At 46.3% G+C, this 21,407-nt stretch overlaps 1 protein-coding gene across 34 annotated transcripts in view, besides 5 other annotated features; it reads left to right on the forward strand.

Annotated features, from left to right (window-relative positions):
* TRAK1 (trafficking kinesin protein 1) overlaps positions 1-21,407 on the forward strand; it is a 212,798-nt gene that overhangs the window by 170,376 nt on the left and 21,015 nt on the right. For 33 of the 34 annotated variants that reach the window (NR_146089.1, XM_047447718.1, XM_017005909.2 and 30 more), the window contains 10 exons: positions 1,217-1,333; positions 4,577-4,677; positions 5,548-5,656; positions 8,090-8,168; positions 9,607-9,737; positions 10,356-10,430; positions 11,336-11,473; positions 15,709-15,785; positions 17,350-17,586; positions 18,968-19,284. Coding sequence is in view for 33 of the 34 variants with exons in the window: in XM_047447718.1 (XP_047303674.1) it covers positions 1,217-1,333; positions 4,577-4,677; positions 5,548-5,656; positions 8,090-8,168; positions 9,607-9,737; positions 10,356-10,430; positions 11,336-11,473; positions 15,709-15,785; positions 17,350-17,586; positions 18,968-19,284 (1,381 nt within the window). In the remaining variant the exon portion in view is untranslated. Of the gene's footprint in view, positions 1-1,216; positions 1,334-4,576; positions 4,678-5,547; positions 5,657-8,089; positions 8,169-9,606; positions 9,738-10,355; positions 10,431-11,335; positions 11,474-15,708; positions 15,786-17,349; positions 17,587-18,967; positions 20,722-21,407 lie in introns of those variants that run through there. The other variant, NM_001265610.1, reaches the window with a different exon arrangement.
* Positions 6,349-6,643: a silencer, noted in NCBI's record as "tiled region #14647; K562 Repressive non-DNase unmatched - State 16:ElonW". NCBI's record gives its function as "represses a minimal TATA promoter and a strong SV40 promoter by Sharpr-MPRA in K562 cells {active_cell/tissue: K562}" and the evidence as "EXISTENCE:reporter gene assay evidence [ECO:0000049][PMID:27701403]".
* Positions 7,155-7,655: an enhancer, noted in NCBI's record as "H3K27ac hESC enhancer chr3:42232115-42232615 (GRCh37/hg19 assembly coordinates)". NCBI's record gives its function as "activates a minimal SCP1, AML or CMV promoter by ChIP-STARR-seq in naive H9 embryonic stem cells {active_cell/tissue: H9 hESC(naive)}" and the evidence as "EXISTENCE:reporter gene assay evidence [ECO:0000049][PMID:30033119]".
* Positions 11,395-11,554: an enhancer, noted in NCBI's record as "active region_19739". NCBI's record gives its function as "activates an Ori minimal core promoter by ATAC-STARR-seq in GM12878 lymphoblastoid cells {active_cell/tissue: GM12878}" and the evidence as "EXISTENCE:reporter gene assay evidence [ECO:0000049][PMID:35858748]".
* Positions 12,480-12,589: an enhancer, noted in NCBI's record as "active region_19740". NCBI's record gives its function as "activates an Ori minimal core promoter by ATAC-STARR-seq in GM12878 lymphoblastoid cells {active_cell/tissue: GM12878}" and the evidence as "EXISTENCE:reporter gene assay evidence [ECO:0000049][PMID:35858748]".
* Positions 12,670-12,799: an enhancer, noted in NCBI's record as "active region_19741". NCBI's record gives its function as "activates an Ori minimal core promoter by ATAC-STARR-seq in GM12878 lymphoblastoid cells {active_cell/tissue: GM12878}" and the evidence as "EXISTENCE:reporter gene assay evidence [ECO:0000049][PMID:35858748]".

The following is a 21,407-nucleotide window of genomic DNA, read 5'->3' on the forward strand; positions in this document are numbered from 1 at the left end:
TTGCTTGAACCTGAGAGGTGGAGGTTACAGTGAGCCGAGATCGTGCTACTGTATCCAACCTGGGTGACAGAGTGAGACTCTGTCTAAAAAAAAAAAAAAAAAAGAAAGAAAGAATCAATCTGTAGTGTACTTTATCCCTGTGAAGCAAAAGCCGTTTGCCTGGGACCGTGTGGGTAGTTAATAGCAGGTGTTGGATCAGAACCTAGGACTCCTCCCCAGCATTTTTCCTACCCCAAACGACATGTTTCCATTCTTTCTTTCAAACCAGATGAGCAGAGTAATTAGCATAGACTTCTAAAATGATTTAATTTTTCTGACTTCTCCTCACCTTGCCAAAACCCAAGTTGAATCTGACTGGTAGCAACTCGCTAAGTCTGCATTTGCTGATGGCGTCTGTCCACTATCAGGGGACGTCTTTTTTCCCACAGAGGCTTCCCTGACTTTATATGCCACTCCAAATTTTCCTCTGTATACTGGCTCTGCCTAATTGATGCCATCAGCTCAGCTAACAGAAAATTCTGTGCCCTTAAGAGTGTTTTTGTCTCTGAAGGATGGCAATTTTATGCATAACGTCTCCGTTTTGAAAGTTGTTTTTTTCTTAAATGAAACCTAAGTAGCCTTTTCTAAGTAAAAAAACAGAAAAGCATGTAATTGTTTTTGAGAGTAACTTTAAACATTTTTGTTTCACATGAGGCAAAAATAAGGAATTCAATGCATTCCAGCCTAATGTGTGCTAAAGAGGCTGCCTCCCTGTGTCAGCTCTTGGCTTCATTGTCAGAGCATTTTAGAATTTCTATATTTATTCATTCATTCACTTAACAAATAGCTACTGTTTCCCTGTGCCGGGCCCTGGCAATACAATAGCCCAGCCCTCAGGTGGAGAGACAGGTTATCAAGTGACTGCACAAATATCAAAAGCAGTTGCAAATAATTGTTTTTAGAAGCATTTTTTTCTTTCCTGTAGGAACAAAGATTTGTTTTCATTACATTGTCAGGCTTCCCTTTCCTTGTGTGATGTCTGTGTAGCTCTCACACACTATGTGGGCAGAGGTTATGCCTGTTTTAACAGGCATCAAATGCTAACACAGATGGTGAATTATTAATTCCTTTGTTATTTCTAGATGCTTATGTTTTCCTCATTTGACACTGAGCACCATTGACTCCTTCAGGAAACACAGGTCTTTTGAATCTCTGTTCTCCCTCTTTCCTTTTGTAGAAAGAGCGGGATTTAGAATTGGCCGCTCGCATCGGCCAGTCGTTGTTGAAGAAGAACAAGACCCTAACCGAGAGGAACGAGCTGCTGGAGGAGCAGGTGGAACACATCAGGGAGGAGGTAAGACATTGGAGGCCGAGGCTTCCAGAGGGGCCCGCCACAGGCCTGGGAGCTGGAGGCATGGCTGAAGGAGATGAGAGAATGGAGTCCTAGTTGGAAGGACGCTCCCGAGGGCACGACCGCGGCCTGAGCCCAGAACTGTCTCTTCTGAAACGTTCACCTGGGGACTAAAAGCCACCTTCCTGCAGCTCCTGCTGCTGCTTGTGTCTCTTTTCTTTCCTCAGGCCATGTGGATGGGATGGCTAAGGGCGGGCATGGTCCTCACTCAGTCGTACATCTGTGTGCCATGTTGGGCCAGCCACAGTCCTTGTCCTCAGAGAGTCTAGACTCTAACGATGCAGGCTGATCAAGATGCTCCATGCTTGGCAGAAGGGCACCCAGGCTAACACCACAACGAGCAGGGGTTCCTGAGTCAGGCTGGGCGTGGGCAGCTGGAGAAGGAGCCCTGTTAGGAGGCCAGCTCGTGTACACAGAGGAAAGTGGTGACTCACATTCATCGTTGTAGTATAATTTTGTGTGTGTAAAACAAAACAAGACAAAAATAGCCTGTTGTTTTCATGATAGAAACCCTCTTATTTCCATGATATAAATCTTGGCTGATGGATATCAATGGTGAGAGGAAGGGAATGGAGCTTTTCGGCTTATCTTAGGGTATCTAGGTTTAGAAGGAATGATGCTGATTTTCTGGAAGGGACGTGGTGTGGACAGAGGAGAGCGGCTGTGGAGTCAGATGGGGTTGCTAGGGCAAGAATAAGAAGCTTAGAGCCAGGCCCTACGTAGTAGCTTCTTTCTATCACTCTGTTCTTCTAACAGTTAATTTTAACTGTGACAACACTTCTCCTTGTTTCTTTTCCCCTTTTCTTATTCCTTTCTTTTTTTTTTTTTTTGAGATGGAATTTCGCTCTTGTCATTCAGGCTGGAGTGCAGTGGTGCGATCCCAGCTCACTGCAACTTCCACCCCCCGAGTTCAAGCTATTGTCCTGCCTCAGCCTCCCGAGTAGCTGGGATTACAGGTGCCTGCCACCACACCCAGCTAATTTTTTAATATTTTTGGTAGAGACGGGGTTTCACCACGTTGGCCAGGTTGGTCTCGAACTCCTGACCTCAGGTCATCCGCCCGCCTCAGCCTCCCAAAGTGCTGGGATTACAGGCATGAGCCACTGTGCCCAGCCTTTTTTTTTTTTTTTTTTTTTTTTTTTGAGATAAGGTCTCACTCTGTCACTCAGGCTAGAGTGCAGTCGTGAGATCACAGCTCACTGCAGCCTTGACCTCCTGGATTCAAGCGATCCTCCCACCTCAGCCTCCTGAGTAGCTGGGACTACAGACATGTGCCACCATGCCTGGCTAATTTTTGTGTTTTTTATAGAGAAGGGTTTCACCATGTTGTCCAGGCTGGTCTCAAACTCCTGGGCTCAAGCAATCCACCCGCCTTGGTCTCCCAAAATGCTGGGATTACAGGTGTGAGCCCCTGCGCCTGGCCTCTTCTCCCTTATTTTCTATCAGAAACTTTCTTAGTGGGAGTGGATGCCCTTGTTCATGTTCCTAAGATGTATTCAACCTTTTTCCTTGTTAAAGCTATTCCCAGTACATTGTTGTCTGGGTTTAACAGTAGTTTTAATATGATGAAGCATAGTCGCCACTATGTAAGAAAAGTTTTAATCCTGGGCTTTAAGATTTGATAAGGGAGAATGCTGTTGTATTTTAGGAGAAATAAAGTGATTCGTGCATTCCCTGCCCCCAGAGTCACGACCTGGATTCCCTCTCATGTGACTGGTGAGAAGGCATGCTGGGTCAGCCTGGCCCCCTCCTAGCCACTTCTGAGCAGAGGGACATGCCAGCCAGTAACTCACAAATGGTCACCCGTCAGCTTCTTCACTATACTGTTCTTGCTTGGGACAAGCCTCACCTTGCACAAAGAGGATCCAGCTCTCTGGGAGTGGAAATGCCTTTTTTCCCCCTTGGAAAAGCTTTGAATTTGAAAGCTATGAATGTTTCCCTTTGGCATATTATTAAATTATCAGTCTAGGTGTCGAAGCTAAAACTTTTATGCACGTAAAATTGTCTTCTCCATGGAAGACGTAATAATTCACTCTGTTTTGTAGAAAAGTTGCAATAAACCATAGACCCTAAGTCAAATTATAAACAAGAAAGAGTTAAAACGTAACTGCAATTCTTCTTATAGCACTGGTTCCCTATTCTTCAGTACTGCAGAGTGAAAGGGCAGATGAAAACTTTTACAGTCCAACTTTATTTAAAAACCTTAAGTACAAATCAGGGTGATTTGCAAAGCCATCTCAGCAGAAGTCAATGTAGCCATTCCCTGATGGTTGGCTCTTTTCTTCCTGTGTGTGAAATTCCTATCTAGTAAGCATTGAGCACGGAACGAGGTCTGGCTGGGCTTGTCCAGGAGCCTTGTGAGGGTGCATCACAGAATGGGGCTGTGTGGTCATCCAAGTGTGAGAGCAAGGGTCGGTGAGCTGCCTGTATTGCCCGTGCAGAGCTGGCATCTCCAGGACCCTATTTGGAGTTGGGATTTGGTTCTGGCAGAAGTGAATGAATGGCCTTTTCTTTCATTTAGTAACATGATCAATTTTTCTGGCTATTTGCCCAGCTGATCATCTGGCTATTTCCAAAGCCCCTGAATAGTTGCATCCCCACAAGCATCATTCTTTTTTCTTTTTTTTGAGATGGAGTTTTGCTCTGTTGCCCAGGCTGGAGTGCAGTGGTGTGATCTCAGCTCACTACAACCCCTGCCTCCCGTGTTCAAGCAATTCTCCTGCCTCAGCCTCCCGAGTAGCTGGGATTACAGGCACATGCCACCACTCTTCGCTAATTTTTTATTTTTAGTAGAGACGGGGTTTCACCATGTTGGTCAGGCTGGTCTCGAACTCCTGACTTCAGATGATCTGCCTGCCTCGGCCTCCCAAAATGCTGGGTTTACAGGTGCCAGCCACCGTGCCCGGCCCCCAAGCATCATTCTAGTCCCCTCTCTGCTCCTCCCTGTACCAAAGTAAAAATTATGAATTTAGACAGCTTTCTACCAAAAAGTAATTGTGTTTCTTTTAAATAGATTAAATGAAAGCCTCTTTTTTTGAATAGCACAAAATCAGTTTAAATGCTTTCACTTTCAATGGTGAATTTTCAGAAAAATATTGTCCCTAAGTGTTAAGTGTTGGAATGTGAGTCGGGGGGGACAGTATCACCTTTTGGGAAGCAAATGATGGGCCTGCTCTGCTTGTGCAGGTGTCTCAGCTCCGGCATGAGCTGTCCATGAAGGATGAGCTGCTTCAGTTCTACACCAGCGCTGCGGAGGAGAGTGAGCCCGAGTCCGTTTGCTCAACCCCGTAAGTCACCAGAGGGCTGTATTTCTGGAGGCCAGAGCACAGGCTGGCCGCTGTTGATGTCCTTGGAGTCACCTAGACAGGGTCACCTTCAGCAGCAATGGAGGTCAGCTGCTCTCAGCCTTCTCTGGACCAAACACCTCCAAGTGCCTCAAACAGATTGATTTTACTATTTTAGCGGGATATGGATGGACAGGTTTTTAGTTTTCCTTTTCCTGGGTCTTATTGCTTATTTGTCAATTTAGATTGATTTGCCCTGGCACATTAATGGATAATGGGTTAGGCTCTGCTGTTGGAGAGTATTCAGGGTTCTGGAGCCAGAGGTGCTGTGGCAGGTCCTTGGGACAGAAGGCGTGGTGTCTTCTCTGAGAGTCAGCAGATCCTCATGTTGGGAGCATGAACTCCAGAGCCCAGTGGGCTGGTTGCAGATCTTGGCTCTGGGACTTACTAGCTGCATGCTGTTGGCTAGGTTACTTAACCTCTGTACTTGTTTTGTCATTTGTAAAATGGAGATAACAGTAGAACTTAGGTCACAGAGTTATAAGCATTAATTGAGTTAAAACATACAGAGTACTTACAAATGCATTGTGAGTATTAAATAAACTCCCAGACATCCTGGAATTGTGTAGGCTTTAAACAGAGTTGGTCCCCTGAATTCTAAGGTGATGTGGCAAGTTGTGGATAAAGGGTTGAGATGTGGGTTCAGAATTGGTGGTGAGCCTGTGCACTGGGGGCGCTGTCTTCCTGGGGTTGGGAGAGCCGTCTGGTGGGTCATTGTCCTTCCTGCAAGCCCTTCTTTGTGTCTCCACATGGTTTGCCAGGTGGTGGGAGGAAATGCGTCTCCCTAGGTTGTGAGCGTACTTTCTCCCCCAGGTTGAAGAGGAATGAGTCGTCCTCCTCAGTCCAGAATTACTTTCATTTGGATTCTCTTCAAAAGAAGCTGAAAGACCTTGAAGAGGAGAATGTTGTACTTCGATCCGAGGTGATGTGCCCTCCCTTCTCTTGCCCCTGCTAGAAGGGTGGTGGCCCCATTCGCCTTATCTGGCAAGGACAACCATGGTTAAGTGCCCTCCTCAAAGCTGGCAGTCTGTGAAGAGCTGTACCAGGCGCTCGGCAGATGTGCCTCCTCTATGCTCTGGGCACTGCCTTCCAGCCCAACACATGCCTCCCTGGCTGGGGCAGGCAAACCTGGTGAATGACATGGTGTGTGGACTGGGAAGAGTTGGAGGGCCCCTCCTTCACAGTCACTCCTGCAGTGAGGTCTCCCATGGTGTTCTCCAGCTCTGACCACAGCACCTGTGGAGAAACCCAGCCTTGTTTTCATGCTGCCACAGATCAGATGCTCAAGGAAGTAGTCCATGGGTGCTCAGAGAGAGCCATATTTCTTTTTCTTTTTTTCTTTTTTTTTGAGATGGAGTCTCGCTATGTCACCCAGGCTGGAGTGCAGTGGTGCGATCTTGGCTCTGCAACCTTCGCCTCCCAGGTTCAAGCTATTCTCCTGTCTTAGCCTCCTGAGTAGCTGGGACTACAGACGCATGCCACCATGCCCAGCTAATTTTTGTATTTTTAGTAGAGACGAGGTTTCACCATACTGGTCAGGCTGGTCTTGAACTCCTGACCTCAGGTGATCCACCTGCCTCGGCCTCCCAAAGTGCTGGGGTTACAGGCGTGAGCCACCGTGCCTGGCAGAGTCATATATTTCTTAAACAATTAACTCAAAAAGGTTGAGCTGAGGCAACTTGGGGACTCATGCTTTTGAGTTTGTTTTATTGGCAAGGCAGTGTGCCAGGCATTTTGCCCACATTTTTTTTTTAGAGTTCACAGCAGGGCTGAAAGCTCGTTACTTTGATTCTCATTGGAACGGTGGGCCCCAGGCTGCTAGGTGTTTTGATAACCCGAGGTCATTTGAGTGAGTAAATGACAAAGCTAGGATTTGCAAGTCTGTGACTCTAAGCCCCTTGTTTTTCACCTTCACCCACTGCCCCTCTCTAGAAACACCGATAGGTGCAAATTTAGTACTGTTTGTCTTAATTAGTGGTGAGTTTCTGTTCTCTAGCCGAGGTATGGTGTGGTACAGTACGGCCCTGTTTATCAGGCCCCTGTGTGTCAGGTTGGAGCTGTGTGCCCACCTAGGCTGGCCCTGGGTTCTTGAGAGCCCCTTAATAGTGCAGACCATCTGTCAACTTGAACTTGCCCACACCTTGGTAAGATCTTCATGTCCCGTCTGAACAAGATGCTCTTCTGCACATCTTGTTCTGTTAGACCTCACCTCTTCCAGCACCTTGTTCACTGATGGGTCATGTAAACCCAGATTGACCAAGAAGTCTGCCTAGGTTTCCTCTGCCAGCCAGTTGCTGGGCAAGGCAACAGCCCTGTGCTCCCTATTCTGAGTTCAGTGCTACCTCTTCCAGCACCTGCCCCAGGTAAATGCTCCAGCCCCGGGCGCCCAGCAACTCACCCAAAGCTAGCTGAGGGAATCTGATCCCAGCTACAGATTCCTGCTACCCCACATCCATTTTCTGAAGTGTAATGATTTTCTGGGGCCAGGACTGAGGGCTCAGAGACACTTCTGTCTAACTGGGGCTCTTGCTTGCTTGCTTGCTTTGCCTCTTTCTCTCCCTCTTTCTCTCCTCCCTCCCTCCCTCTCTCCCTTCCTCCCTCCCTCCCTCCATGGGAGTCTTGCTCTGTCACCCACGCTGGAGTACAGTGGCGTGATCTTGGCTCAAGCAGCCCTCCCATCTCGGCCTCCCAAAGTGCTGGGATTATAGGTGTGAGCCACTGCGCCTGGTCTCGGGGCTTCTTCTTTGGGCCTTCAGATCTCTATCATCCCACCCTTTTCAGCCAGGGCAAGTTGTCCAGAGTCCTGGGGTGGCTCTTGTGCCTCTGCATTTTAATGCTTTTGTGTTGGACCTTGTTCTTACTAAGCTTGAACACAGCAGGTTTAACTCCAACTTGGGACCTCATATGTTCAGTGCCTGGCACATAGTAAGTGTTAGCCATTCCTGTGTGGTTATCCTTAGGATGCCTGCTGTGGGTAGTGTCCTAGGCACTGTGCGGGTCACAGAGCATCCATATTTATGAGCCAGGACAGCCACAAATAACAGATACAATGATAGGATGGTGGTGTTCGTGGTGTTTTTAACAGAGCAAGCTGTAGAGCACCTGTGCCCGTAGCTGTGTGTGGCGCCCTCTAGTGGTATGCGTTTTTCAGGTTTTCAGCTTTGAGTGCACATCCATTATTAAGCTGGGAATTCAGATGGACTTTCTGTATTTGAGGGTACGATGGGTGACAGGTGGGGGAATGCTAAGGGCAGCTTCCCAGACCCCAGTTAGCCTTTGCTTTATGCCTCAGCCCTTGCCTGCACCACCAGGCCAGGTGAGAATGTGGGGCCTCTGACCTGGGTCTTGTCTACAGGCCAGCCAGCTGAAGACAGAGACCATCACCTATGAGGAGAAGGAGCAGCAGCTGGTCAATGACTGCGTGAAGGAGCTGAGTATGTCCCCGCACTGCTGTCTTCTTACTTCCTTGCATCTGCTGTCATGATTAGACAGATTTGCGTCAGCCTTGCTAAAGTGCAGTCTCCTGCCAGCCTACGGCTCAGCAGCATTTTTCTTAAAACTAGAGGCCTCCCCAACCTTGTGTGGCACCCCCTCTCTATTATTTAGTGCTAAGTTGCCAGCTATGTATTATCTCAGTTTATCACTGAGGTGGATATTTAAATTTAATTTTGGCTTTATACTGGAATATTGGAATTTTTTTTTTTTTTTTTTTTTTTGAGACAGAGTCTCACTCTGTCACCCAGGCTAGAGTACAGTAGTTGCGATCTCGGCTCACTGCAACCTCTGCCTCCCGGGTTCAAGTGATTCTGCCAGCTTAGCCTCTCAAGTAGCTAGGATTACAGGCACCCACCATCATGCCTGGCTATTTTTTTGTATTTTTGTAGAGGCAAGGTTTCACCATGTTGGCCAGGCTGGTCTTGAACTCCTGACCTCAGGTGATCCACCTGCCTTGGCCTCCCAAAGTGCTGGGATTACAGGCGTGAGCCACCACCCCTGGCCAGAATATTGGAATTTTTTAATGCCTAAGTTAGGCCCAGCTACAGAAAACTGTGTTGAAAATGTGGCAGAACAGCTTACTACCAGTAATTTGATTTGTGGAAGCTGAAGCCAGGGTTCTCACCTTTGCAAATAAATATTTCTCTCCTCCTCTTCATTTTAAGTTTACAAGTTAAGACCAAAGGTCAAAATACTAAGTATATTGCATTTCGTCAAAGTACTAAGTATTTTGCATTTCGTCAAAGTACTAAGTATTTTGCATTTCGTCAAAGTACTAAGTATTTTGCATTTCGTCAAAGTACTATTTTGCATTTCGTCAAAGTACTAAGTATTTTGCATTTCAGCAAAATAATGATGAAACACACCTCATGTTCAAATCTAGTCAAGTGAGTTATGACTCTGAATATGGGTTGAAAACTCCAAGGAAATTGCACTGTGCAGTCAGTAGTTCCTTTTTAGAACTGGGTGCAGCAGGGGATTCCTGTTTAGTCACATGGGTTCTCTTGTGTGGAATGTGAGGATGTGGCTAGATGCACTCATGTTTTGTTTGTCACTTTCTATCTGACCACTGGAGCCTTCCTGATTTGTTCTGGGGAGACAGCCTTGGTTGGTGGGCTTGGGACCCTACACTGAGCTCAGGAGTGCTATCTAATGGGGTGAGATTCTTTTTCATAACTGATTGAGCCCTGAAGAAGCTGCTTTGCTTCTCCATGTGGGAAAATGGTCATTATGAGTTCCTTCCTGCACCCTCCCCACTCTACCCTGTCTTTTAGTAAGGATGGTTTTTCTTGTGCAAACCACAAAGAAACCATTCTCTCTGGGTCTGCATGTGTGGTTTTCTGACTTCCTCTCCTGATTGTTGCTTCTTTGTCAAAGGGGATGCCAATGTCCAGATTGCTAGTATCTCAGAGGAACTGGCCAAGAAGACGGAAGATGCTGCCCGCCAGCAAGAGGAGATCACACACCTGCTATCGCAAATAGTTGATTTGCAGAAAAAGGCAAAAGCTGTAAGGCTTCTCTGTTTATCTGGCTGATACAACAATGGCCATGCTGAGACGGGGAAGGGACATTTACTCCAGAAGACAGTGCTCTTTAGTTTCATATCTTAGCAGTTCGTGTTGCCGCTTTGCAGAAAAAGCTTAGTGGACTCAGTAGTATAAAACTGATTACCTGAATTGGTGACGAGTCTTATTTGTGACCTCTTATCTCCTAAAATTATATTGAATTCATTAAAAAGATGTTGTAAATATGGACTTTTGCAGTTTAACTTATGGATCATCTAGTCTAGTATTTGTTTTTACACAGTGCACTAGATATGTGCTGCAGTAGAGCAGTATCCTCTTCAGATTTAAGAAGAGGCAGCAAAATGGACTTTGCTATTAGTGTGGGGTAAAATGCTTCCAGAGAGCTTTGGAAGATGGGGGTGGGGCGGTGGGCTATAGAGAATGAATGTGGATATAGGAAAGACTTTACCTTCAAAATAATATAAAAAGCAGAATTTGAGTATAAGATGAGCATGTCCTTGTAGAAAGTGATGAGTTCATTACAGATTAGGTTAATAAGAGGGAAAAAGTTGGACTTTTACCAAGTATCTTAGGAAGTGATCTATCTTTGCCATGCTTTAGTGCGCAGTGGAAAATGAAGAACTTGTCCAGCATCTGGGGGCTGCTAAGGATGCCCAGCGGCAGCTCACAGCCGAGGTGAGCACCTCTCCCTCATTCCTTCAGTGCCTCTGATTGCAGCCAAGGTGGATTAGCCTTCCCGGACAGCTTTAGTCACGTCCATCGCAACTACTGTTTTTATTTTGAATTTCATTTCATTTTTATTCGTGGGAGAGTAAACCCAGTTGCACCTTGGTTCTGTGCCCACTGACACTGTTACTGGTTATGGGCACCTGTGTGGCAGGGCTCTACACCAGCTGAGCCTGGCACGTGCAGGTGTCCAAAAAATGTTCAAAGAAATGAAACAATACAACACAGAGCACTCTGGGAGAGGAATCTCACAGGTGTGGCTTGAAACATGGGTGTGACGATTTTCTTTTTCTTTCTCTCTTTTTCTCTTTTTGAGATGGGGTCTCATTCTGTCACCCAGGCTGGAGTACAGTGGCATGAGCATGGCTCACCGCAGCCTCGACCTCTCCAGGCTCAGGTGATCCTCCTGAGTATCTGGGACTACAGGTGTGGGCTACCACACCCACCTAATTTTTGCTTTTTTTTTTTTGAAAGATGAGGTTTTCCCATGTCGCCCAGGCTGGTCTCAGCTTCTGTGCCCAAGCAAACTGCCTGCCTTGCCCTCCCAAAGTGCTGAGATTACAGCTGTAAGCCATCATTCCTAGCCTGATTTTTCTTTTGCATGAAGTTGGTTTTGTTTCATTTGCCCATTGTTGGTATTTTAGAAGATTTCTGAGTCTGTAAGCTTGCCTCAAGTCAAAGAAAAAGCAAGCCTTTGAAAATTCTGTTATTTGGCCACAGGCGCACAGGGCAGCTGGTTCCACACGTGCTGGGGACTCTTAGATTGCTGTGTCTTTCTGGCCTTCGGATGGGCAGATGTGTGTACACCTGGGTGCTCAGGAGATCCTGACCCTCTGTGTCTTTCCTGCCTGCAGCTGCGTGAGCTGGAGGACAAGTACGCAGAGTGCATGGAGATGCTGCATGAGGCGCAGGAGGAGCTGAAGAACCTCCGGAACAAAACCATGCCCAATACCACGTCTCGGCGCTACCACTCACTGGGCCTGTTTCCCATGGTGAGCTGTGCTTTCTTCCCAGCCAGAGGACAGGAGGGGTTCTGGTGACAGGAGCACAGTGTCTGACATTCTGGCCACTGGAGTTGGGTGTTCACAGTTCGCTTCTCGTTGTACAGTTCAGATCTGAGTCTGAATCAAGGACACTTGAATCTGACTGGTGGTTTCTTAACTACATAAGACAAATTGGTTATTTTCTGTTCCTCTAAATCTGTGGTCTTTTCTACTCCTGCCATTAAAAGATAAATTTAGTAGGAACTTGCTTTAGTGGGAACCTGAGGTATTTGGAAGATCTGACTCATACAGGTTGAGCATCTCTAATCCAGAATGCTTCACAATCCAAAACTTCCTGAGCACTGACATGATGCATTGTAGACATTTAATAGACATTACGTTTAGACGGATAGTTGGACAGATAGACAGATGGCCTAAAGAGCAAACTCAAGAACTCCTGTGTATTCCAGCTCTATTTCCATGGTTTGATGAAATGCTAAATGCTCTCTGAGGAGAGAAGAGCTTTTGAGAGAAACTCCCCCAAGTGAGATAGGAGCGGATGGCTGCGTAAATGCTCGTGAGATTCTGTCCCTTCTGAAATTGGCCTTTTCCTTGGAGCTCTTTCCCTTCAGCCCCCATTGCTGACCCCCAGCAGATACTATCCCCATCCCCCACTCCTTGTTGTCTGGCCCACCTTCCCTAAATCGTGATTTCTTTTCTTCTTTGCTCCCATGCATCAAAGTCAGGAAGTCAGGCTAGAATAGCCACCACCCCCTCTCCGCCTCAAGAAGCTTCACTGAAATCTGAGGGAAACAAAAAGAAAGACATATAACATAGTCAGCTTTCTAGGGCACAGATGGGTGATCCAGTGATTCCAGGAATCTCAGTAAAAGCAGCAAAGAATATTCAGTCCCCCAAGTTCCCTGATCTAGCGCTAACCACACTTGGCTCACACGCTGGCCTGTGTAGCTTTGCAGGCTCCTTACCTGGGTTCCCTCCTTCCTGGCTTGTCATCTTGGTGCAGTGAGCTCCTGGCGCTGTCTTGTTTCCTGGGCACCCAGGATCCACTCCACTGCCTTCCCCACTCTCAAGGGCAGACCTCTCTTTGAAAACTGAACTATTGTGTGAGAAAAGTCGAATTGAAATTTGCATTTCAGTTTCTTTTTGAGGGATTCTCAGCTTTCATATTTGCTGAGGTAAAGTTTTTGTTTGCCTTTTTCTGTAGCTCTTGGCACAGCCCAGTTTTTGAAGATGGCTATTTTTAAAGTGTATTATGCATTAAAGGTATTTAAAGCAGTCTAAAGATTGCATCATGCAGAACGCCCAGATCTGCCTCTTTTGCTCCTAGCCATTCTAATCGCTGAATAAAACAGTGAGTAGCAGTTTTTGCACAACTATGTTCCCAATTCTCTTGCCCAATGGCAGGAGTTCATCTGGGATCCACAGACGAAATTTGGGGGGGGCCTGTGAAATTAGTTCCTAATTGTACTCAATATTTCCTTCCTGTATGAAGGTCACCAGGTCACAGTGATATTAGCACTGCTTGTGACTTTGTCATCATTAGAAATCACAGGTATTTTTATGGCACATTTCTTTTTCTCTTCTTCTTTTTTTTTTTTTTTTGAGACGGAGTCTTGCTCTGTCATCCAGGCTGGAGTGCAGTGGTGCGATCTTGGCTCACTGCAACCTCCCTCTCCTGAGTTCAAGCGATTCTCCTGCCTCAACCTCCCAAGTAGCTGGGACTACAGGCATGTGCCACCACGCCCGGCTAATTTTTTTTTTTTTTTGTATTTTTAGTAGAGATGGGGTTTCACCATGTTGGCCAAGCTGGTCTCGAATTCCTTACCTCAGGTGATCCACCCGTCTCGGCCTCCCAAAGTGCTAGGATTACAGGCATGAGCCGCCGCGCCTGGCCCTATGGCACATTTCAGTTGTTACAGCTGCCTCACAACACCACAGATGCTGATCTCCACTTCAAAATGACAGCAGTAACCAGTCCTGAACTAATTTCTCTCTCCTTTCTCCTCTCTCTCTCTCTCTCTCTTTCTCTTTCTCTCTCTCTCTCTCTCTCACACACACACACACACACACACACACACACACACACGTTGTTATATTGATACATATCTGCCTTCTTTTATAATCATAATTTTATTTGCCTAAAAATATTATTCCAGGAAGGAGTCCACAGACTTGCCTGGATTGCCAGAGGGGAGAGGGTCATGGCCAAAAACAAGTCACAGAGCCTGCATGTGACTTTTTCTCAGTATGGCTTTGAAATTACAGTCATCCCTGAGTATCTGAGGGGGATTGGTTCCAGGACCCCCTGCAGATACCAAATCCTTCAATGCCTAAGTCTCTGATATAAAAGGGCATAGTGTTTGCTTATAACCTATGCATGCCCTTCCACATACAAAAAGATCATCTCTAGATTGCTGGTAATACCTCATACAATGTAAATGCCATGTAAGGAGTTGTTATACTGTACCGATTTTTAAATTTGTATTATTTTTTGTTTTTTTTCCCCCCAAATTTTCTATCTAAGATTAGTTGAATCTGAAGAAGTGGAACCCACAGATACGGAGGGCTGACTGTAGTAATTTGACACTTCATTTTTCTTAAGGTGTATGAAGGTCCTTTCTTCTCTATTTGTAAATTATGTGGTGAATAACAGTATTAAAAAATAAGCTGGCTTAAAAGATGTCAGACTCACCTAGGGAAGTCCTTACTGGACATAACGTTTAATGGCAATCTGTGGGTAATAATTACAAAATAAAATGCATATTTGTGAACAAGGACTGAAAAAAGCCTGCTAGCCCTTTATTCATCTCACTTCCTGCTGACTCCTGTGGAGTCTCCCCGCTTGGTTCCAGCCTCCAGACCGGAGCATCCGCATGGACCATGAAGCTGCTGAGGTGGATGCCCTGGAGTCCCCAGGCGGTATCTGCTGGGAAGCCACTGGCCACATGTGGCTGTGCAAATTTAAATCAATTAAGTTAAAATATAATTACGAATTCAGGTCCTCAGTCACAAGCCACATTTCTTGTGCTCACTAGCCACCCCTGGCTGGTGGTTTCCACATGTACATATGTCCCAGCACAGAGGATGCGTCCATCATCACAGGTTGTTCTGTTGTTTAACATGAATTTAGCCTTTCCCTTCAGGTTATCCTCCATGGATATCCTCCTCTGGTGCTGAACTGGTGCTTTTCTGCACACACTTGGTCCTGTGGGTATCTACCATGTGTAAAGGATTGTGTGTTAGGCTCCACCTCCTACAGTGCTGAGTGATGGGTGGTACAGGAGAGGGGACATCCATCTGGCAGCCTTTAATGTTGAGTCTCAGCTTGAGGCCTGGCCCATTGGTGAAGTGAGAAGCCATCAGTGACTAGCCTTCCCCTGACCCACAAAGCTGGAGAGAGAAACATGTGAGCTGTTGAGAAGAGTGGCAAAGACTTACTGTGTTTGGTGTCTGCTTCAGAAAAAAATGTGAGATTCCTAGTGGAAACAGGAATCCTACATTTCCTGGGCAGGTTGTTTAAAGGTGGGTGGGCCATGGATAGTTGGCGGTGAGAGGAACTTCCCTTGCAGGAGGCCAGGGAGGATGAGAGCAGGGACCTAGAGATGGCAGTGCGTGTGACTCACGTCACGTCTGTAGAGACCCTCTCACTAGCACAGAACCAGAGTGCCCTTTGGAGGTGGGAAAGGCTTCCCCAGGAGCCGAAGTTGGAGGCCCTTGGTCTATTCTTGGTGTCAGAATCTTAGACACAGAGGGGGTGTGACAGACCCTGTAGACTAGGGGGACAATAGCTTTGTGTGGCTTGTATGGGCTCTGTTGCCATATCTCACTGTAAGCTCAGAGGTATTTGGAAATTCACCTGTCTCCATCATTCTGAACACATCACCCCTCCCTCATAAGTTCTGCATCCCATCTCGTAGCCATGGTTACAGCTCCATGGTTTGGCCAACGGAGCATAGGGTTTGCTTTTAGACACCTAATGGCATATGAGTCAGCAGCTTTACACTCAGTGCCCAGTGGCACTGCCACACTCAGAACCTGCCTGGGAAACTGCTCAGCCAGGGTCTCTGACAACAGAGAGTGCTGTTAAGTTTGTGTTGTGGGAAGACCGTGAGCTTCTGATGCCTTGGTTTACTCTCCATGGCCCACCTGGGTGCATACCTCTTTTAGAGACAGAGCATTTGAATTGGCGCTCACTTGACATTTGTCTTTCTGGCTTTTCCCAGGATTCCTTGGCAGCAGAGATTGAGGGAACGATGCGCAAGGAGCTGCAGTTGGAAGAGGCCGAGTCTCCAGACATCACGTACGGCCACAGTTTTTACAGTTTTGAGATTCCCAGAGACCAACTTGGACCAGTGCAGTGTTCAAAACCTAGCAATGTTGAGGCTCTGGGTACCGACAGTGATTGACTATTGTCCTTCCCAGTCCAGATTAAGGGAAATAATAGAACACAGCTGACAGCATCCCTCAGCTCCTCTTATTATCTTTTGTTAGTGTTAATTTTTATTTATTTATTTTTTAGAGATGGGGTGTCTCACTTTATTGGGCACGCCAGAGTGCAGTGGTGTGATCATAGCTCACTGCAGCCTCGAACTCCTAGGCTCAAGTAATACTGCTGCCTCAGCCTCTTGAGTAGCTAGGACTACAGGCGCATGCCACCATTTCCAGCTAATTTAAAAAAATCTTTTGTAGACATAGGGCTTCACCATGTTGCTCAGGCTGATCTCAAACTCCTGGCTTCAAGTGATCGTCCTGCCTTGGCCTTCCCAAAGTGTTGGGATTACAGGCGTGAGCCACCACTGGCCTGTGAGCCACTGTGCTCCTCTTCTTCTTAGGTTTTAAAGACAAATTGTGAACTTCCAGAAAGTCCTAGAAAAGGAGAGATGTCTTTCCCATCTCTCTTAACACAAGCTTTGTCTTGATATAGCTACACGTTTTTATCTTTCCTTTCAGTGGAAAACATTTAAAAAATTTAAAATCAACGTAGTGTGAGATTCAGAGGGGTCTTCAAAGATTTTGTGCAAGGCTTCCATCTCCATCTGAATACACCTAGGGATATGAGCTTCTACCATCTGTCTTCCTACCTCAACTCTTGTACTTAACCTGCCCCAAGGTGTTTGTAAGGAACATGTGGACCAGGTTTCATTGTGTTTTCTGTGTACTCAGACTCCATAGACAGAACTTAAATGAGATCCTGGGAGTGGCAAGTGTCCAAGTGAGGTTTGGTATATGTGTGACACCCTCTGCAGCCCAGAAGGAAGTGGCCATTGTAAAAACATGCCTACCCTTTTCTCTTTAAAAGGGAACAAATGAGCATCAAAGTGGTTCTGCTCCTAAAATAACACTTTCCAAAATTAGACAAATCTAGTATTTATCATCTTATTATAGAAGTGAAAGACTAACTTGAAGTCTTCCTTTTTTTATATGAATGTTCAACAAATATCCATTCTACAAGTATTGATTGATTTCTGCTGCGCTGAGCAGTAAACACTGCCCTGCTGCAGCGTTTATTCTAGTGAATATTATGAAAAAAGAAATCTAGGAGACAAAAGTCATACTTAAGTATTTTTATTTGTGGGTTAAGCTTTAGGGATGTGAAACACAATTTCACTCTTGCTGGCATCACCTTTAGGATACAACCATGCGTTCGAGTCCTGGGTTTAGTGGGTGTTGAATCTCTCAAATTTCGCATTGTGAAGGAGGCAGCCAATACCCTAAGAAACAGGTGGCAGGCACAGGATAGCAGGCTGCTGGGGGACTCGTCATAGGCCAGGTGCCCTTTTGGCTCAGTTGATCATTTTTGGAGGGTTAAACTCCAGGGTTGTGCCCGCATTTGCTCACTCACGGATGCCGTGCATTCTCCCTAGTCACCAGAAGCGTGTCTTTGAGACAGTAAGAAACATCAACCAGGTTGTCAAGCAGAGATCTCTGACCCCTTCTCCCATGAACATCCCCGGCTCCAACCAGTCCTCGGCCATGAACTCCCTCCTGTCCAGCTGCGTCAGCACCCCCCGGTCCAGCTTCTACGGCAGCGACATAGGCAACGTCGTCCTCGACAACAAGACCAACAGCATCATTCTGGAAACAGAGGCAGCCGACCTGGGGTGAGCAAGCTGGGAGTTTTCACTTCTCTGTTTTGGGGTGAGGAGTGGTAGTATGGATTGTCTGCAGGCTCAGTAATTATTAAGAGGGAGGTAGATGAGAGTCACCTGAAAAATACAGACCTGGCCGGGCGTGGTGGCTCGCGCCTATAATCCTAGCACTTTCGGAGACCGAGGCGGGAGGATTGCCTGAGCTCAGGAGTTTGAGACCAGCCTGGGCAACATTGCAAAATCCCATGTCTACTAAACATACAAAAAATTAGCTGGGCATGGTGGCATGCACCTGTAATCTCAGCTACTCAGGAGGCTGAGGCAGGAGAATCGCTTGAACCCGGGAGGTGGAGGTTGCAGCAAGCTGATAATTGCACCACTGCACTCCTGTCTGGGTGACAGAGTGAGACTCTGTCTCAAAAAAAAAAAGCGGACCTTACAGTTCTCCAAATCTGTTCTGCTTACCCACTTGAGCCTATGCCTATCCTTGATATGATATTTTAATCAGCTTAAAGATGTATAACAAGATGATACCAGAAAGTCTGCTTTCCTGTGAAATGCTTGGGGGAAGGATTAATGAATATTTTTTTTTTTGTTAATCTTCACGGTAAGGCTACAGAATAGACATTTGTTTTGTGACCGTTTTGTAGCTTGATGTTGGAAAGGCTGAGGAGGACTCAGGCTGTCTGTCTTGTGACCAGAATGTGGTCACAAGGTTCAGAGGGTGGGGTGCAGGGGGGCCAAGGTGCCCAGGACTGGGCTTTCCTCAGGAATGGTCAGTTCCTCTTTGTCCTGAAGCCCTGCAGAACCTGGACGGACGGACGGACGGACGGACAGACGGACACACACACACACACACACACACACACACACACACACACACACACACCATTGTCTACTTTGTGCATCCTTTTCCTCTGACTTAATAAAATTGATTCTTCCGGACCAGTTGGAACAGACAGACAGGAAGCTCCTTGATCAGAGCAGGTTTTGTTCAGAGTTGGGGTCTGGGCTCTTTTCCTTCAAGAGAAGAGAGAAACATGCCTTAACCCCATTATCCTTCTGGTAGCCAGGAACAGCAACCTACAGGTTTCTTCCTAAAGGTTCTTCAGGGAGATGTTTACAGGGACTGAATTTACTTAGTCTGTGTGCAGATATTCATCCCACCTTAGTCCTCACCCCACCTCAACCCCACTAAAAAAGACCCCTGGCGGGAGTGGTTCTGGACACGAATTTATTTCCCCCTGTTGCCTAAATGTCAACTGCTTGCCTTGGTTCCCATGGAGAATCCTGTAGCCCCAGGGAACGTCCACCGCTGTGCATTGAGCAGTCGGGCCTCTGTGGCCTTGGAGCCCTGCTGGCATTCCACCCTCACACCCCTTTCTTCTTCCAGAAACGATGAGCGGAGTAAGAAGCCGGGGACGCCGGGCACCCCAGGCTCCCACGACCTGGAGACGGCGCTGAGGCGGCTGTCCCTGCGCCGGGAGAACTACCTCTCGGAGAGGAGGTTCTTTGAGGAGGAGCAAGAGAGGAAGCTCCAGGAGCTGGCGGAGAAGGGCGAGCTGCGCAGCGGCTCCCTCACACCCACTGAGAGCATCATGTCCCTGGGCACGCACTCCCGCTTCTCCGAGTTCACCGGCTTCTCTGGCATGTCCTTCAGCAGCCGCTCCTACCTGCCTGAGAAGCTCCAGATCGTGAAGCCGCTGGAAGGTGATCACGCGGGGCCTCGGCCCCTCTCTGTCCTCCTGGGGGACTCCCTTTGGTCCCTGATCCACCTGCGGAAGGCGGGGCACCTCTGTCACGCCTACTCCTTTTTCTTCCGCGACAGCCACCCGCGCTGCTGGTTTGAGTTCCTCTGAGGGTGGTGCTCAGCCTAGGCCTCCGTCCCTCCCCTCTGGCTGGCAGGTGTGACAATGCACACATAGGCCATGAAACTCGCCGAGGAAAGACAAGCATGTGCACTGTGGTCTTCTAGTTCTTTCCTTTGCCTTTAGAACCTTAGAAATAAAAACTTTTGTGGCGGTAGAGGCACTGCTAACTGATTCAAAAATTAATTAGGTTTTGCCTGTGGGTGTGAGGAATGCAGAAAATTAATGCTTTAGCTTTTCTGCAGTTTTGGTGTCGGGGAGAGGTTCCAAGCAAACTCTATTAAATGGGGATTTTTTTTTCCCCATAACCACCTGAATGTGATTTGTGGGCTTATGTGTTCTGATTTGAACTTCATATAGCAAGGTTGTGGCTTTTGGCAGATGCAGTATGTTCTGAGCGCGGCTCCTAGAGTCTACAATTTGGAGTCCAGGAAGGGGTGGCTGTGGAGACAAGTGAGTTTTGTACCTCCGTAAGCCACCCTTTTTCAGGGTCAGTTCATGTGTTAGTATCAGGGGCATCTCAGATGATTAAACTCATGGGAAAAACTTCCTCCTTCCCTCTCTCCCTCTTGCCCTCCTGCCTCTTTTTTTTTTTTTTTTTTTTTAATTTAGGCACTTATAAAATGTTTTCCCTCTACCTGCTGCTACTCTGCCAAGAGCCACCAAGTGCTTATATTTTTCATTTTTTACTCCTTTAGTTTGGAAAGCCATATACGTTTGAGAAGGTGTTTTAAAACTCTGTGTTACACTTACGATGCAAAGCCAAATCAGAACTTCTGTAAGGCAGAACTTTCCCAACTTTAAAAAAATTATTGTCCCCTCTAAGGAGCCTTCTTAGACGTTTTTTCCTAATCACCCCCCAAAGACATTTTAATACCACATATATATTGTTTATGTACTATATGTATATACATAAACAATACATAAGCAATACATCTGTGGTATTAAAATTAAAAAGAATCCAATTATGTTTACCTCAAAAGAACCTGTTTTTGCTTCTTGGGAGCAATATTGCCCCTGTGAGACTGCATGCTATAAGGTAAGGTTGTGCTTGTTAAAGACCCAAGACATGACTGGGTTCCACAGTCTCCAAAGGAAGAGGGTGGGCTAGTTTGTTTTTATTATTATTTTAAAATTGTATAATTGGGGTCTTTCTTAGAGTTCAGAAAAGGTATAGCTTACTCTTTTTTAATTGTTTATTTAGTTGTAAGCTTGGTGATTGTTTTCTGATCCACATTGTGTGTGTTCTTCAATAAAATCTTTCATTTCTGCAATTTTACTTTCTGCCTTACTTTTCTTTTTTCTCCTTTGTCACTCAAAGATCATTGGAATTTATCATCTCTGTCTTGTCTGCTTTCTATATTTGACTCTGTGTTTCATTAGATCATCTAAGAATATGTTTTTGAATTTATTTTCAAAGCACATGTTTTAGCCAGTTCATCTTTATGTCTTTTAATTTTGTGACTTGGCAGTATTTTTGTGATTAGTTAATAGGATAATAGGAAATCCTGTTAGATTAGCAAGGTGAATTTCATCTATAGTGCTCTGCTACCCAGGAGGCTAAAACAATACAATTAAAAAGTTATTTGTCTTATCACAGTGGCCTATAACACAACCTCATGATACAGATTCTTTTGATTCCATTTTGTAGTTCTCTGACTTCTTAGCTGTTTATTTATGTATTTAGTTTTTGAAACAGGGTCTCGCTGTGTCACCCAGGCTGCAGTACAGTAGTGTGATCATAGCTCACTACATGCCTGAATTCCTGGGCTCAAGCAATCCTCCCGCCTCAGCTTCCCAAGTAGCTAGGACTACAGGACTGCACCACCACACCTGGCTAATTTATTTATTTGTAGAGACAGGGTCTTACTATGTTGCCTAGGCCGGTCTTGAACCATTGCCCTCAAGTTACCCTTCCACCTCAGCCTCCCAAAGTGTTAGGATTACAGGCATGAGTCACCACAC

The sequence above is a fragment of the Homo sapiens genome, chromosome 3 (assembly GCF_000001405.40).
Source record: "Homo sapiens chromosome 3, GRCh38.p14 Primary Assembly".
In the NCBI taxonomy this organism is placed as follows: Eukaryota; Metazoa; Chordata; class Mammalia; order Primates; family Hominidae; genus Homo; species Homo sapiens.